This window comes from Homo sapiens, chromosome 17, assembly GCF_000001405.40.
Source record: "Homo sapiens chromosome 17, GRCh38.p14 Primary Assembly".
Lineage (NCBI taxonomy): Eukaryota > Metazoa > Chordata > Mammalia > Primates > Hominidae > Homo > Homo sapiens.
In genome coordinates, this window is record NC_000017.11 from 6,107,310 (window position 1) to 6,125,055 (window position 17,746).

The following is a 17,746-nucleotide window of genomic DNA, read 5'->3' on the forward strand; positions in this document are numbered from 1 at the left end:
GGCCAACGTGGTGAAACCCCATCTCTACTAAAAATACAAAAAGTAGCCAGGCATGGTGGTGGCTACCTGTAATCCCGGCTATTCAGGAGGCTGAGGTAGGACAATCGCTTGAACCCGGGAGGCAGAGGTTGCAGTGAGCCAAGATCCTGCCACAGCACTCCAGCCTGTGCAACAGAGTGAGACTCTGTCTCAAAAAGGAGAAGAAAAAAAAAAGATCCTACATCCAAATAAGGTCCCATTCTAAGGCCCTGGGGTTAGGACTTCAACATATGAATTTGGGGGACACAGTTCAGCCCATAGCAGCCAGCATGGACAGAGGTACCTGAGACACAGATGGGCCGCCGTGTGCCGTGGACATCCGGGCTGCTTGTTTCTGCTGCTCCCTGTGATGAAGGTGTTGGTGTGGAATGAGGTGGGATGAGGGTTTTGTGATAGAGGGTGGATGAAGCTGTAGAGGCCGGAGGTGGCAATTCTTGAAGTTGCCTTTCATGAATTCACATGACCGGGGAAACTTGCTTCTGGAAAAGCCAGCAGTGTTGAGATTGAGGGTCAGGCCCCAGCTCTCGCTTTCCATAGAAGAGTGGTGTAGGGGCCGTGAGGATGGGTCTAGTTGGACGTACTACCGAGGCTCAATAGCCTATCATGCACTGACTCACAGCGCAGGTGCCTCCTTGGCTTGAAGAAGGACGAGGAGAGTCGGGAGAGGCTTTCCTTGGGGGCTGCTTGGCACCTAGGAGAGCATGCGGCCTGTACTTATAAGAACAGCCTGACAGTGGGGGGCAACCTCCAACAGCATTTCCCCTGACTCCCTCCAAAGATACCTGCCCTCCCGCCAATGCCCCAGGCCCTGCGTCATCTTCGCTTGCATGGGACACAGGCTGTTGTCTTTTATGAGTGCCCAAATCCTCAGCTTTACCTAGCCATGCTCAAAAAATGCTATTGATTTTCTTTTTCTTATTTATTTATGAGATTTTTGCTGTGAGCAAAAAATAAAAAGGTTTGTGCAGTGTTCCCCTTAGCAGTGAGAAGTTTTCTCCACCCACTGCCTCCCTCCCTGGCACACACACTCACAGATTACTCTCTCATCTCTCTACGCTCCAAAAGTCCTAGCATCTCCCGACTGTAGGATGCAGAGAAGGAAGAGATGAAAAGGGGCTAGTGCCTGGGGCAGAGTGAGGACTCTCCCATACATGTGGGAGAGGTGGGTGGATACATTTTTGAGCAAGACACAGCTGATGCCCAGAGAGTTAGGGAGGTCGAGAATGACCTCTTCCTCCTTGGAAGCATGCCAGGCCCGGTGCTGGGCACTTTGGACCTGTCTCATTCAGCCCTCACCTTAAACCTACAAGGCAGATTTTATTACTTTTTTCAGTGATGAAATTCAAAGAAGTTAGGCACCTTGCTCAAGGGTGCCTAGCAAGCGAGCTAGAATTCACTTTCACACCTTCAGGATGCCAGCTCTCTTCAGTGTGTGGTGCAGCCTCCCCAAAGGGGAACAAGGACCCACTTAAGAGACTGCTGGGAGCTGGGCTGGCCCACAGAGTGAGACGACTCCTCTCTCCTACCCCTGACAGGGCCCCCCTCCATTTTGAAGAATCCTCCTTGGGCTGAGCATCTTGGGTGGGAACAAAGTCTGTTCTTCTCCACCCCTTCCATCTTTGGAAAGATGACTGTATGAGAATCTCTGCACCCTGCAGTGGGACATCTGGCATGAGAGTTGGTTTTAGTCTCTTTCCAGGGAGGTGGCTGGCCAAGGAAGACCAGAGGGAATCGAATCTCAGTCCTCTCTCAGGGCTTGAGGTCTGTTCATTAGTGGTGTGACACGTGGATCCTTGGGGATGCCCTAAGTCAGCTGATCTGCCCCGCTCTGTGCCATGCAGACATCCACTCATATGGATGCCCCTGCCCAGAGTGCCATTTCTATCTCTGGCACTCCTGACAAATGCCTTGGAATCTCAAAAACATGATTCCAGCCTCTGCCCCCTGCTTTCTGCACGTCGCTCATCCCTCAGTCATATTGCTGCTCATACTGTTGACTTGTCAAGGAACCAACCAAGTAGGGCTGTGCTTATAAGAACATGGGCTACTTGAGCTGCTTGAAGCTCACATCTTGTTGATCTTTGTCTCCCCTGGAATTGGGCACAGAGCACAGTGGTGGAAGGATGGTGGTCATCCCTGTGGATTCCATACAGATACAGCTGGCAATACATCGTCCATGTTCATCCCATTCCTGAGCCCTGGGAAGCATGACCCTCAAATTCACTCAGTGTGCTTCTCTTCTTATCGTTCCCTGGCAGGAGTTCCCCTTGGCCATTCTCAGGGGCTGGGAATGCTACTGTGCTTACCCTACCCCCCGGTTCAACCTGCGGGATGCCATGGACAGCTCAGTATGTGGCCAGGACCCTGAGGCACAGAGGCTGGCAGAATACTGTGAGGTCTACCAGACACCTGTGCAAGGTGGGTTCTGCATCCCCGACTGGTAGTGGCATTTGGTCTGGGGGGTGGGGAGAGCTTCCAGGGTTTGGAGATGCCAGTCATGGCCAAGCATGCAGTTATGAGGTATGGCATGTGTCTGTGTAAAGGTCTTGGCATCTTGATGGGTGTTGGAGATAATGGGGAGGGTCAGTTTTCCACCCTCCACAGAGGCTGAATCCTGGACTCACTTTAAAAAACACTGGACCCTTTATCTAAGTCTCTCTGGAGATGACAATGGTAAGAGGATGAACAGAGAGGGGCAGGTCCTAGAGAGATAGCAACAGAAAGGTGGTAGGATTGGGAGGCGTGGGAAGAATGAGATCCCAGGAGCTGCAGGGGCCACTGGTGCCTCCAGGACCTGGGAACCCTCCTTGGTGTGAGCATCAGGTCTGCCCCTGTTGACCTTAGGAACTGATGAAAGGAAGAGCCGGGGACGAGGGATGTTACCACCTTTATCAAGTGCCTACTGTGACCCAGCATGGCCCTGGATGTTTTGGGGCTTTCCCCTGGTGATTTCATGTGCTCCTTGTAGCAGCCCTGGGGATGAGACATAACGAATGACTTGCCTGTCATTAGTCCAGCTCTGGTTTATTGTTGGCAGTACCTGGGTGTGTTACTTTGCTCAGCCTAGCCTCAATCCCCACCCACTTCCCCTATTAGAATCTGGAATTATCTGTGCTATGTCAGGAGCAAGAGTTTGGCTGTGGCCATAGAGACAGAATGGGAGTCGAGGGTCCATAGGGTGTCTGATTCCCATCTTACTCCTGCACTGCAGTATTGCAGGCCTCATTACGGGGCTTTCTCGGACTGGCCACAGACCTGTGCAGCTAAGGTATATTTGGAAGATCTCTTCCCTTCTTTGGGCCTTGGTTCCCCCATCTATTAAATGGGAGTCTTCGTTCATCAGTTCCTCTAAGGGAGTTTAGTGGTGAATTGGTGAGTCATAATGGAAGTGAGTAACCCCGTGATGACTTTTGGACTTTCAGACACTCGTTGTACAGACAGGAGGTTCCTGCCTAACAAATCCAAAGTGTTTGTGGCTTTGTCAAGCTTCCCAGGAGCCGGGAACACATGGGCACGGCACCTCATTGAGCATGCCACTGGCTTCTATACAGGGAGCTACTACTTTGATGGAACCCTCTACAACAAAGGTAAGTCAAAGCTACAGGGGACGATGGAAGGCAGCTCCCGGTGACCAAACTGTCACCTTGCCAGCCAAGCTTCTCAGAGCACTAGAGCAGTGCATCTCAAACTTGAGTGTACATAAGAGTCACCTGTGGGTGGAGCCACTGTGTGCCATACTCACCCTTCAGGTATTGAAGACCAGCCCGCCTGGTGGTCCCCATCCACAACAAAGTTACGCCATTGTATCCACAAACACCCACGATCTAGGCCACTGAGGCACTTGCAGACACCACTGATATTGATTACAGCCAAAGAAATTACACTGAGACTACACTACTCCACCACCCAGAACCAAAACCTAAGCATGCTACCCAACCCACACTATAGGATACATCTACTAGAAAAAGTCTTTTCCTATGAAAGCTGCTCCATAAAATTGGAAGAGGTGACTGTTCCACCAGATGTGCAGATATCAATGCAGTCACACAAGAAACATGAAAAAGCAAGGAGGCCAGGCGCAGTGGCTCACGCCTGTAATCCTAACACTTTGGGAGGCTGAGGTGGGTGGATCGCCTGAGGTCAGGAGTTTGAGACCAGCCTGACCAATATGGTGAAACCTCATTTCTACTAAAAATACAAAAATTAGCTGGGCGCGGTGGTAGGCGCCTGTAATCCCAGCTACTCAGGAGGCTGAGGCAGGAGAATTGCTTGAACCTGGGAGGCAGAGGTTGCAGTGAGTCGAGATTATGCCACCGCACTCCAGCCTGGGCAACAGAGTGACACTCCGTCTCAAAAAAAAAAAAAAAAAAAAAAAAGAGCAAGGAAACATGACGTCTGCAAAGAAACACAATAATTCTCCAATAACAGACCCCAAAGAAAAGGAAATGTATGAAATACCTGAAAAGTAATTTAAAATAATGATTTTAAGGAAACTCAGCATGATACAAGAGAATACAAATAGACAATTCAATGAAATTAGGAAAACATTTTATGATCCGAATGAGAAATTCGATAGAAATAGATATCATACAAACAACCAAACAAATCTGTTAGTTGAATAATTAAAATGAATTTTTAATGAATGAAATTAATGATCTAGTCTGTTACAAAAGCTCTCAACTGTGTTTTTAATTTTATACCAAAACCTATGGGATACAGCAAAAGAAGTTCTAAGACAAAAGTTTACAGCAATAAATGCCTACATCAAAATAGTAGAAAGATTTTAAATAAGCAACCTAATGACGTACCTCAAGGAACTAGAAAAGCAAGAACAAGCCAATCCAAAAGTACTGGAGGGAAAGAAATGATGAAGATCAGAGCAGAAATAAATGATAAAATTCAACATCCCTTTAGGGCAAAAACAATCAACAAATTAGGTATAGAGGGAACGTACCTCACCACAATGAAGGCCATATGTGAAAAACCCACAGCTAGTATCATACTAAATGAAGAAAGTGTTGAAAACCTTTTCTCTAAGAACTGAAACAAGACAAGGATGCCCACTTTCACCATGTCTGTTCAGCCTAGTAATGGAAGTCCTATGCAGCAATTAGGCAAGAAAAAGAAACAAAGGGCATCCAAATTGGGAAGGAGGAAGTCCACTTGTCCCTGTTTGCAGATGGCATGATCTTACATATAGAAATGCCTAAAGGCTTCACCAAGAAACCCTTAGAACCAATAAATGAATTCAGTAAAGTTACAGGATACAAAATAAACATGCAAAAATCAGTAGCATTTCCATATACCAATAGTGAACTACCCGAAAAAGAAATGAAGAAAGCGGTACCATTTAAATAGCTATGAAAAAATACCTAGGAATAAATTTAATAAAAGAGATGAAAGATCTCTGCAAAGATAACTATAAAACACTTATGAAATTGTAGAGGACACACAAAAAAATGGAAAGACATCCCATATTTATGGATTGGAAGAATTAATATTGGGAAAATGACCATGCTACCAAAAGCAATCAACAGATCCAATACAATCCCTATCAAAATACCAATGACATTCTTCACAGAAACAGAAAAAAACAATTCTAAAATTTGTATGGAACCACAAAAGACCCTGAATAGCCAAGGCAATTCTGAGCAAAAAGAACAAAGCTGGAGGTATCACACTACTGACTTAAAAATATGTTACAAAGCTTTAGTAACAAAAAACAGCATGGTACTGCTACAAAAACAGATGCATAGACCAATGGAACAAAATAGAGAACCCAGAAATAAATCCATGCATTTACAGCCAACTCATTTTTGACAAAGATGCCAAGAACATACATTTGGGAAAGGACAGTCTTTTCAATAAATGGTGTTGGGAAGACTGGATAACCATATGCAGAAGACTGAGGCTGTACAAATGGTGTTGGGAAGACTGGATAACCATATGCAGAAGACTGAAGATATACCCCTATCTCTCTCCTTATGCAAAAATCAACTCAAAATCAAGACTTAAATGTAAGACCCAAATCTATTAAACTGCTAGAAGAAAACGGGGAATATTTCAGGACATTGGTCTGGGCAAAGATGTTTTTGCTTTTGAGATAGGACCTCAAGAGCACAGACAACAAAAGCAAAATTAGACAAGTGGTATTATGTCAAAGTGAAAAACTTCTGCACAACCAAGGAAACAATCAACAGAGTGAAGAGACAGCCTGCAGAATGGGAGAAAATATTGGCAAACTATTCATCCAACAAGGGATTAATAACCAAAGTATATAAGGAACTCAACAACAAAAACCCAAAAGAATCTGATTTAAAAATGGACAGATGATATGAATAGACATTTATCAAAAGAAGACATACAAATGGTCAACAAGTATATGAAAACATGCTCAGTATCACTAATTATCAGGGAAATGCAAATCAAAACCACAATGAGATATCATCTCGCCCCAGTTAGAGTGGCTACTATCAAAAAGACAAAAAATAACAAGTGTTGGAGAGGATGTGGAGAAAAGGGAACTCTTATACTCTATTGGTGGGAATGTAAACTAGTACAGCTCTTACGGAAAATAGTATGGAGGCTCCTCAAAAAAAAGTAGAATTGTCATATATATGATCCAGCAATCCCACTGCTGGGTATATATTCAAGGGAAAGGAAATGAGTATGTTGAAGAGATACCTGTACTCTCATGCTTATTACAGCACCATACACAATAGCCAAGGTATGGAATCAACCTTAGTATCTATCAATAGGTGAATTTTTAAAATGTGGTACATATACACAATGGCTAGTTAGCCGTAAAAAAAAAAAAAAAAAAAGAATTAAATGCTGTAATTCACGGCCACATGGATGAGCCTAAGGGACATTATGTTAAGTGAAATAAACCAGGCACAGAAAGATGAATACCACATGCTCTCATTCATATGTCAAAGCTTAAAAAGTTGATCTCACTGATGTGGAGAGTAGAATAGTGGTCACTAGAGGCTGGGAAGGGTAGGAGGGAGGGCAGGATAGGGAGATGTTGGTTAAAGGATACAAAATTACAGCTAGATATGAGGAATAAGTCCTAGTGTTTTATAGCACTGTAGGGTGACTACAGTTGACAATAATTGATTGTATGTTTTCAAGTAGCCAGAACAGAGGATTTTGAATGTTTCCAGCTCAAAGAAATGATAAATGTTTGAGGCGATGGATATCCTAATTACTTTGATTTGATTATTAAACATTGTATACATGCATTGAAATATCACATTGCACCCCATAAAGAAGATGTACACTTATCATGCATCAGTTTAAAATAATAATAAATATATTTATATTTATTATTATTTTATTTTACTTTCAGTTCTGGGATGCATGTGCAGAATGTGCAGGTTTGTTACATAGGTATGCATGTGCCAAGGTGGTTTGCTGCACCTACCAACCCATCGTCTAGGTTGTAAGCCCCGTATGCCTTAGGTATTTGTCCTAATGCTCTCCCTTCCCTTGTCCCCCACCCCCCAACAGGCCCCTGTGTGTGATATTCCCCTCCCTGTGTCCATGTGTTCTCATTGTTCACCTCCCACTTATGAGTGAGAACATGTGGTGTTTGGTTTTCTGTTGCTGTGTTAGTTTGCTGAGAATGATGGCTTCCAGCTTCATGCATGTTCCTGCAAAGGACATGAACTCATTCTTTTTTAATAAAAATATTTTTAAGTAAAAAAGAGAATCACTTGGTCCTGGCCCACACCCCTGACAGTCTGATTCAGGTAGTCCGAGGTGGGGCCTGAGAATTTTCATTTCTAACAAGCTCCCAGGTGACCCTGATGAAGGCAGCCCGAGGACCCCACTTAGAGCGGAACTTCATGAGATCGTGCCTATTCTGGATTCAAAGAGAAAGACTAGCAGCTTGAATTTTCTCTCTGTAAACATTTCTTGAATTTTCCTTAATTTTTAGAACCCTCAATAATTAGGGGTGAAACTGATTTAATCTGCTCATTCCTTTTTTGAGGCAAGAACTAGTTCATCAAAATGTAATAAAAAATGTCCAAAAATCTTTTAAGAGTTTTGATTTGTAATCTTTCCCTTGTAGAAATAAGAGAAATTAAGTTAAATGGCTGAAGACTGTGTTTTGTTTAAGAATGAAAAACCTCAGACAAGTCCATTGGCATCAAATTTGGCAAAAATGTATTAAAATGTATTTCTCTGTTGTCAAGCATTTTCTCTGGATTTCTTTCTTTCCTTTTTTCTTTTCTTTTCTTTTCTTTTTTTTTGAGATAGAGTCTCACTTTCACTCTGTCGCCCAGGATGGAGTGCAATGGCACAATCTCAGCTCACTGCAACCTCCGCCTCTTGGGTTCAAGCGATTCTCCTGTCTCAGCCTCCCGAGTAGCTAGAAATACAGGCACCTGCCACCACACCCAGCTAATTTTTGTATTTTAGTAGAGACAGGGAGGTTTACCATGTTGGCCAGGCTAGTCTCAAACTCCTGACCTCAATTGATCTGCCTGCCTCACCCTCCTAAAGTGCTGGGATTATAGGAGTGAACCACCATGCCTAGCCCATTTTCTCTGGATTTCTTAACCAGAGTTTGGTGTAGGAAAGTTGATACTGTCAGTAACATCCTAGAGAAGCAGAAACTTCCCAAGCTTGGGATTGGGCTCTGGAATCACTTATAACAATCTTGGTTCTGGGGAAAAGCTATAGTTGTCCATATAACCCAGCCTTGTACTCCCTGGGAACCTCGAGTGTTACAGGCATCTTCAGGTGAGGGAGGAAGTGGCCACATGAGCACATGGCCCTGTCCACTCTGGCTTAGTCCCCTAGGAATCACCCACTGTGCCCAGGCTGCAGTTACCCACCTTGTTCATCTCCAAGGCCCTTACCTTATTCAAGCAGCTGGCTGTTTTGGTCTACATATGGTAAGCGGCCCAATGACTGATATTGCCAGCTATAGAGGTTGGGTCGACACTGCCTCAGAAATGCTTTAGAGATACCTCACACACATCTTTGAGCCTTACAAGACCATTAGATGTGGCCAGTGGCCTCAGAGCACTGACAGAGTGATCACACACACACACACACACACGCACAATTCACAAGGCATCTCCAATGCCCAACCACCAAATCTATTGTGGTAGGTCGAATGTGGTCTGAGCTGCAAGGCAGAATAGCTGTTGTTGGAAGAGGCGGAGGCAGTATGGAAGGCACCCCGGGTCTCAGGGTTGTTAAAGACTAGATCTCAAGTTTATTCATTCCAGTTTGACTCTTCCTTTCATAGCATTTTCCAGCTGTTTGACAGAATGAATCAAAGCGAGGCCTTTTGGTATTTGGCCCATGGCAGAGATAAGTTTGAAGCTTGTTGAGTTTCAGTGGGTAAACCCGGACTTCCAGATTCAAAAGAGACTTGCATTTTCCAGGCATCAAAGCGTCCCTCAGTGCTCACTGCAGATACAAATGCTTTCCAGCAATTCCTGCAGAGGGGCAGGTGGTAGGACTCATTTTGTTTCCAAGAGCCCAAGATAAGCACATGAGCACTTACGGAACATGTCTCAGGGCTGGGAGCATGGGCTACATTGGGTGTGGCCAGGAGACTAGTTTCAGGAGACCTCTTCCCAGGAAGTCTTCTAGGACATCCCACTATTTGGGATCCCTGCTCTTTGTTTCCATAAGCCCCTATAGCCTGCACTTAGGCTATTTCCTCTACTAGAACATAAGCTTAAAGACAAGGTCTGAGTCTTAACCCTCTGTCCCCAAAATAAAGTCTAACATAGTGAGCACATAATAACCTTCATTGATAAATGTGTGGCTCTGGATGAATGGGCGGAGTCTGGCCTTCTCTGCCAGTAGTCAGTCATTCAGGTTCTGAGTGCCCAGTACTATAGCAAGGGACCAAGGAAAGAGAGGGCCCCCGATGGGCTGATCAATGGGAACAAGTCTCCATTCATAGAAATTGGGCCCTGGGTCCTCAGGGCCAGGCTCAAGCACTGTGGATGAGGCCTTGACCAGACCTGCTCTGAGGCAAGGCTGGGCCCTGTCATAGAACCATGGCATCAGGTCAGAGGGTGGATCTATACCTGCTCACAGCCATTGAATCTGTAAATCAGGATCCTGCCCTGACTGTGGGGAGGTGAGAGGAGGCTGGGGGTCTCACAGAGACACACGGTGGCATGTGGAGAGAGCCCTGGCGCTGTTTTCACAGCACTGTGTGATCTTGGGCAAGTCCCATGCTCACTCTGTGCCTTAGTCTCTTCATTCAGCTATGTTTGCAGCTATGGTTAAATCAAAGGTTGTTTGTAATGCTTGTGTAAAATTATCTCTATGAAGATGCCCAAAACATATGCGTGCATCTGCAATGACGGGTCTTCTGCCCTCTGACTCCTGGAGGTCTTCAGGGAATACCTCATCTCATTTCTCTTGCAGATGCCATCTTTCCCCACTGTTAGATAACTCCTGCTGTCACTTTCCCTTGGACAGGGTCACTCCTGTGGAGGCCGTTCCTATCACCATCCATAGGTCCTCTCAGTGTCCTCTGTGTCTTCCATGGGCCCTCTCTTATGCCCCTGATGCCAGCTTTACCCAATCTGTCTGCTGCTATGGTAGGGTGCCCCATGGACACCATCTTCCACAGAGACCCTCTCATTTTTCCCTGCAGGGTTCAAGGGCGAAAAGGACCACTGGCGGAGCCGACGCACCATCTGTGTCAAAACCCACGAGAGTGGCAGGAGGGAGATTGAGATGTTTGATTCAGCCATCCTGCTAATCCGGAACCCATACAGGTCCCTGGTGGCAGAATTCAACAGAAAATGTGCCGGGCACCTGGGATATGCAGCTGACCGCAACTGGAAGAGCAAAGGTAATCAAGGACCTTGCGGTGGGGGTGGGAGGCTTGTCAGTACAGGTAGGTTGCTCATCAGGATGCAGGATCAATTTACACAGGTAGGCACTGCAGGATGCAGGATCAGTATACACAGGTAGGCACTCAAACCCCATCCTGCTAGGGACTTAGTGCTGCTGTGCCTGGGCTTGAGTTCACCTCCTCCCCTTGCCCCCCATGCCTGCTGAGGTCCATACGCCAAGGCATTTTACTTAGATGCCAGCTTGATTACCAAGAATCTTCTCTGCCTCCATGAGTGCATAGTGGGGTGATATGCACCCCTTTCCATCTCTGCTTCTGCCCAGGAGCTCATGCAGGGCTGGGAGAAGAGCACATGGGGTGCACATGGACCTGCTTTGCACCTTCCTCTGTGTTCAGCACCAGGTTCCTCTTTTATAGAATGAGACCTGCACCTTGTGGGGCATTCAGGGAGCAGTGAGATGATGTGCCTGCCTGGTCTCTGGTCAGAGCTCAGCATGTTAATTCCCTCCTAAGCTGCCTCTTGCTGACTCTTCACAGTGTCTGGTGGGGAAATCACATCAGCCCTACATTCCAGATGAGCCCAGAGAACATGGCTGCAGGACTTGGCCTTGGTGGTGAGCAGCAGAGCTGGGACTCACACCCAATGTCTTAGTCAGCTCTGGCTGCCATAACAAAATACCACAAAACTGGGGGATGGGGCAGGGGGTGGTGCTTAAGCAGCAGACATTTATTTCTCATAGTCTTAGAGGCTGGGAAGTCCAAGATCAAAGTGCTGGCTAATTCCATTCCCAGGAAGGGCCTGTTTTCAGGCTTGGAGACAGCTGCCTTCTCACTGTGTCCTCACATGTCCCCAACAGCTCTCTGGTGACTCTTCTGATAAAGGCACTAATTCCATCACAAGGGCCCCACCCTCATGACCATATCTGACTCTAATCGCCTCCCAAATCCCCCATCCCTAATACCATGATATGGTGGGTTAGGACTCTCTGTGAATTTGGGGGGCATACAAGCATCTGGGCCCCAACATCCAGAGTGTCTGATTCTGGGTCAGATTGGCCTGTTCCCCACTGCAGCTTTATTCATGGAATCAGTCTTCTGACTCACACTTGCTGAAGTCTTCCTGGGTGCCAGGCATGGGGCAAGGTACCAGGAGCGCAGGCTGATGAGGTCAGGGTCTCTGCCCTCGAGGCATGCACAGCTGAGCCTTTGGGTGGTGACGAATAGAGTCTGGGTGGTAAGTGATGTGAAATGAAGTTGGTCAGAAACAAAGCAGTGTCCAGGCAGGGTGGGGTGAGAGAAGTCACAGGACCCATGGCCAGACCAGCTTGTGCTCCTGTCCACTTGTTACTGGATCACCCAGTGGGTGGCCTCTGCCGGCCTCTAGTCTTCCCCTTCCCCCATCATCCTTTACTTAGACAGCCCCCGACAGTCAGGCAGGCTGATCTCTGACGCCTCCTCTGCCTCTTATGAGCCGTATAACTCCGGGAAAGCTGCTTATCTTGTCTTCTGAGCCTGTTTTCTCACATTAAAAACAAGGATAGGCCCTGTCTCCTAGGGTCATTGTGAAGATTAGAGAAAGCAAACGCTTCAGACGGCGTTTGAGGTGTGTTAATAGCCCAATAATGGAAACTTTTTATTGGGATGATTTCTGATATCTGGACCCTGCACACCCCTCCCCCAAAATTAATTTCTTAATTTGCTGGAAAAGAAAGCTCATAAAGTAGATTACCTGCAAAAGTCCGAGGCCACCCCGTCTGTGGCTTCACTGTATGTCCTACTGCCCTGCAGTTTCACAGGTTCAAACTGGCAATCAAACCACAAGATGCGTATTTGCCCATCAGGCATCACGCTGACTTAGCTTTATAGGAGGACCTGGGATGGGAAATGGAGGCTGCACAGCGTCCTCATCCCACCAGGATGCCCAGAGCTGCCCCCACCCACCACGGACACACTGCTCAGCCACCAAAGGGTCCTCCTCCATGGGGAATGCCAGGTTGACTCTAGGCAGTGGACAGTGGAAAACCCTGCCCACTTCCCTCTCCCGAGCAGCCCCCCGGGGACCGGCAGCCCTGGCAGGGCCAGCCCCCGACTCTGCATCTCTCCTGTCCTCACTCTAGAGTGGCCGGACTTTGTCAACAGCTACGCCTCGTGGTGGTCCTCGCACGTCCTGGACTGGCTCAAGTACGGGAAGCGGCTGCTGGTGGTGCACTACGAGGAGCTGCGGCGCAGCCTGGTGCCCACGTTACGGGAGATGGTGGCCTTCCTCAACGTGTCTGTGAGCGAGGAGCGGCTGCTCTGCGTGGAGAACAACAAGGAGGGCAGCTTCCGGCGGCGCGGCCGGCGCTCCCACGACCCTGAGCCCTTCACCCCGGAGATGAAAGACTTGATCAATGGCTACATCCGGACGGTGGACCAAGCCCTGCGTGACCACAACTGGACGGGGCTGCCCAGGGAGTATGTGCCCAGATGATAGGCCTGGCCCACGCCGCCGCCCCCGCTGAGTGACGCAATCGCACCACGGGGCTGCGCTCCCCACTCTGATGCTCAGGCCCGTGGCCTCACTGGGACGAACGGTGGGTGGGGGGCTCACCCTGGTGCTGCCTCCCGCACAAGGAGACCTGGACACAACAGACACACATCACAAGGCGAACACAAATGGACACACATACCTGGCCACGAACCCACACCTCCTCAGACACTCAGACACCACTCCAGGCTCATAGCCCCGTCTTGATGCAGAGAAGCCACCCACGTGGGGTGTGCCAGGCACCCCCAGATACAAATGCAGCCACGCACAGACGTAACACACAGGTGCCAGGCCGTGTGCTCCTGGAGGCTGGCTGGCTGTCTCTCTCACACAGATACACGTGCGCTCCCTGGGATCCGGGAGGCCCTGGGCTTCCTGTGTGTAGCCCTGGCATAGACTTGCTCGTCAGGGTGTTCGACTCTGGGATGCTGGGCCGGGCAGACATTTATGCTCTGAGCAGCAAGGACCATTGGGATGGAGGTGGGCACAAAGACTGCTGCTTCCAGGGTGTGCGGCCCTGGCCGTGTGTCTGACATCCCATAAATGTGTGTGTGGTGTGACTACGGGCACCACAAACTCCGCAGCCTTGCCTCTCTTTTCTCTGTGGCTGGGCTGGCTGCACCATGGGCAGGGTTGAGGACTGCCCCCCACCCCGCCCAAGCCAATGCAGACACTGACCTCAAGACCAGCCACACCAAGTCTGTGCACTGCCCACCACCCCCTTCAACCCCTCCTACACCATGCTCCGGGGCCTGGGGCCTCCTTGCCTGGCTTCTTCCTCCAGCTATCCTCAGGGAAGCTGGAGATTCAAGTCATGCCCCAGAAGCAAGGTGTAAGCATGGGGGCGTGGGGAAGAGGGCAGGAGCTGAAGTTCCAGGGGAGCCCAGGACCCCTGGGGACCTGTACACTAGCAGGATGGGTCTTGGGAGTTGGCATGGGGAGATTGTAAGGGCTGTATCTCCGCGATTACTGGTACTGGTGCTCCACCCATAGGGGCCCTGTTCTCTCTGGGGTCCCACACTGGGGTCATGAGAGCTAGTTAGTACTCAGCCTGACCCCTAGGTCTGGTCCTGCCAGCCTGGGATGGGGGTCAATGTATGCTACACATCTTGGGCTCACAAGTGAGGCTGTGGAGGCCAGGAGGTTCAAGTATGGAGGGTAGGAGTGCAACCCAGGAGCAACGCTCAAGGTGGCCGAGATGCAGGGAGGATTGTGGCGATCCGGTTGCACACTGGCCTCTGTGGAGGTCAGGGAGGTGGGAAGGTGGGTGGGCCTGAACTCAGGCAGCCCTTCAGTGGCTTCTTCAGGCCTAGGATAACCCTGGCCAGGCCCCATGGTCCTGCTCTGGGTCAGCTGTCAGGGAGACCTCCCTTCAGCCTGAGCCAAGCTGCATTGGGAGGAGAAGGCAGGGTGAGGGATCTGGGAGAGCAGGACGTTGAGATATCCTGACCCTCTGCTTCCTAGCCTGATGATGGGGAACCCAGAGCCACCCGCTATGAGCACAGGCCGGGGGTGGAAGGCCCAGTAGAGCTGCCCTTCCCCAGATGGAAGCTTCCTCCAACCTTCAGTTTGGCCAGTGGGTGGGTTTGGGCATCTGTGCCCCTGGTGGCCTCCAAATCCTTCCTGGGATTCCCCCAAACCCACACTGATGCGAAGCTGTTCTTGACCCTCCCATAGCATCAACTCAGTTCAGCTCAAAGCTAGAAACACCAAGGTCTTTGAAAATGTTTATTGGCTCAGGATAGCTTCGGCATCCAATCTGCGAAGGCCCCTGATGGAGCTATTTCTTCCTAGTATCAGGAGCAATTGAGACCCCTCAGGAGTTTCCACACTGCTGTGGACGGGATAGCCAGGGCAGACCTGCATCCCAGAGCAAGCCTAGATCCTTGAAAGCAATGTCAGGCGTGGCAGTGGGGAAGCCATGGAGGCTGGGAAGGGCAAAGTGTGGAGAGAGGAGTGACCGGGACTGGAGCCAGGGTCTGGGGAGAGCAACAGCACCAGGCTTTTCCTGGTAGTTGGATTGGTACATTCACTGCTGCCAGGTACCCAGAGATGTCATCTCTCTCCAGGTAGAGCATCACCAGCTCCTGTGGCCTTGTAGATGACTCTGTACCTCAGTGAAGAGTGCAGGCAAGTAGAGTGATGGGGTCAGTGTCCATCCAGTTTACGCTGAGTCAGTCCATACAGCAAGACACCTGGCACTTGGCAGGTACTCCTGGATGTTGATGAGCAAGGAAGAGCAACGGCCCTGTCAGCTGGCAGTGGTCCTCACAGCCTTCATCCCAGGTCTGCCTACGTGGGAGATCTCATCAGAAACAGGAACGGGGATCTGTCTGTGCTTGCAGGAAAGTCCATTTGTTTTTCTCCAAGTTAGGTCTCATCTACAGCTCTTAGCTTCTCAGTAAAGAGGATACTCTCCCAACCAGCCAAGGAATAAAAGCTGATCTGTATGTAGGGCAGAAGTGTGGCAAATGCATCAGGAACCGGTTAGAACAGAACAGAGAAACCCTGACTGTCTACAGATTCCAACTTTAATAGCAAGCCTGTGGAGTTACACAAACCTGTGTTAAAACATGTAATTTTTATGGATTTCATCTCCCGTTGTGGATCAATTTGGAAAAACCAAAATATGTAATTTTAAAAAACTAAAACACATCCTGGTAGTCCCAGTGATGTGTAAATGAGAGAGAAGAATAGACAGGCTTCCAAACCCTGGGAAGAAAGCTGCTTAATTATGTGAACATCTTATAATGAAGTCTCTTGCAGCTAAAATTAGATTTTGAGTGCATGAATCTGTGATAATGTTTGCATATCAGAATGCATTCTCCCCTTAAAAGTAGCAGTAGCCACTTGGTTCTTAGGGGGCCCCAAGAGGAGAGGAGAAGTGCTGAGGTTGATGTTACGACTGCAAGAATTCTTGGGACACAGGTTTGTTTTCTGCTGACTTGCTCGGAAACCCATTGGAGGTATCTGAAATGTGATGACTCCAAAGGGGTTCATTTCACTATAGGGAGAAATTGATTCGTCTGACTTCCTATTTATCACCACTCAATATTGGGTGAGTTGGTCTGAACAAGGTGGGGATAAAGTAGAGTGGAAATAATGTAGAGTCGTCAGACTGAAAGGCCAGGTTGTAGTCCCAGCTCTTATCTGCCATCTTGGACAAAGCTTTTCCCATCTCCAGTCTCAGTTTCCCATCCATAAAATGGGGGAAGTGGTAGGTCTTGCTGATTGCATCCACATTCATTCCTCCATTTCCTTTCCCAGCAACCCCCCATTTCTGTTTGGGAATTCATATGATCTGCCAGAGCCTCTCCAGGGGTGGAATACATGTCCTGGACTAAGCCAATGACACCTTCCATCTTTCCAGCTATGGTGACTGGGTTAGGTATGATCTTGTGAGTTAAGACAATGAAGCCAGAGGGAATTTCAAGACTTATGGGAATGCTGGGTAGAAGCTGTTTTAATTCCCCTGTTGAATGTGAAAAAGGTAGTAGTATTCCTGGGTCTTTATGATGACCACCTTGGGCCTTGGGATCATGACCAGGAATCACGTGAAGCTGACACCACTGAAGGGAGAGTTGAGAGGCAGAAAGAGATCAAGTCCTTGGTGAAATTGTTTAAGTACAGGATCAAGCCTTGCTTGAGATTGGCCTTACCTCTGGACTTTTTTTGTTATATGAGCTAATAAATTCTGTTTATTGTTTAAGTTGGGTTGAGTTTAATTTCTGTTACTTATAACTCAGAACATGGTGCAAATGGGTTGAATTGAAAAGCCCTGGGGCTCTGACATTCTCTATCTCTGTGGCTGATTTAGATAAAGCCTGAAACTCAGTCCAACTTGAGCTTGTAGGATTGGGAGGTTACTTTTCACAGGAATTGAGCTGAGTGCAAATGCTCAATAGAAAGCTGTGCTTAGCCAAGACAAGTAGCATTTTTAAGTTGGTACATGGTGAGGTCACCCATATAGCCATAGACAATAATTCATAAGGTGCCCAGCCCAAACCATTAGTTGTCTCATTTAATGTTTAACCCTTTGGTGTGGTTATTATTTATTATCTCTGCTTGAAAAATGAGAGGACTGGGATTCCAATTTGTAATGACTGTCAAAGTATGGCCCTTTTGTAGTTACTGTAACTTCTTTCATGGAGTATATGATGTGGTATTGGAAGGAAATTATTTGATAAATTACTTGGATTGGGGATAAGACCTCTTTAGCCCCTTCAGGGGACATGCTTGTGTAACAGCTTATAGACAGTAAACTCCCTTCTAGGGAGGGTAGGTGTGGTTAACCATATAGCATTGATTTTGCAAAGTGGGACATGCAAGCTTGGGGC

At 48.0% G+C, this 17,746-nt stretch overlaps 1 protein-coding gene across 9 annotated transcripts in view, besides 1 other annotated feature; it reads left to right on the plus strand.

Annotated features, from left to right (window-relative positions):
• WSCD1 (WSC domain containing 1) overlaps window positions 1-17,118 on the plus strand; it is a 55,312-nt gene extending 38,194 nt beyond the window's left edge. For all 9 annotated transcript variants that reach the window (NM_001388408.1, NM_001388405.1, NM_001388407.1 and 6 more), the window contains 4 exons: window positions 2,298-2,457; window positions 3,462-3,626; window positions 10,679-10,879; window positions 13,000-17,118. In NM_001388408.1, the coding sequence (NP_001375337.1) occupies window positions 2,298-2,457; window positions 3,462-3,626; window positions 10,679-10,879; window positions 13,000-13,352 (879 nt within the window). In that variant the 3' untranslated portion in view covers window positions 13,353-17,118. The remainder of the gene's footprint in view (window positions 1-2,297; window positions 2,458-3,461; window positions 3,627-10,678; window positions 10,880-12,999) is intronic.
• Window positions 1,019-1,191: a silencer, noted in NCBI's record as "fragment chr17:6011648-6011820 (GRCh37/hg19 assembly coordinates)". NCBI's record gives its function as "represses an EF-1alpha promoter that drives an FKBP-Casp9 reporter gene in an ReSE screen in HepG2 liver carcinoma cells {active_cell/tissue: HepG2}" and the evidence as "EXISTENCE:reporter gene assay evidence [ECO:0000049][PMID:32094911]".
• Window positions 17,119-17,746: the final 628 nt, after the last annotated feature.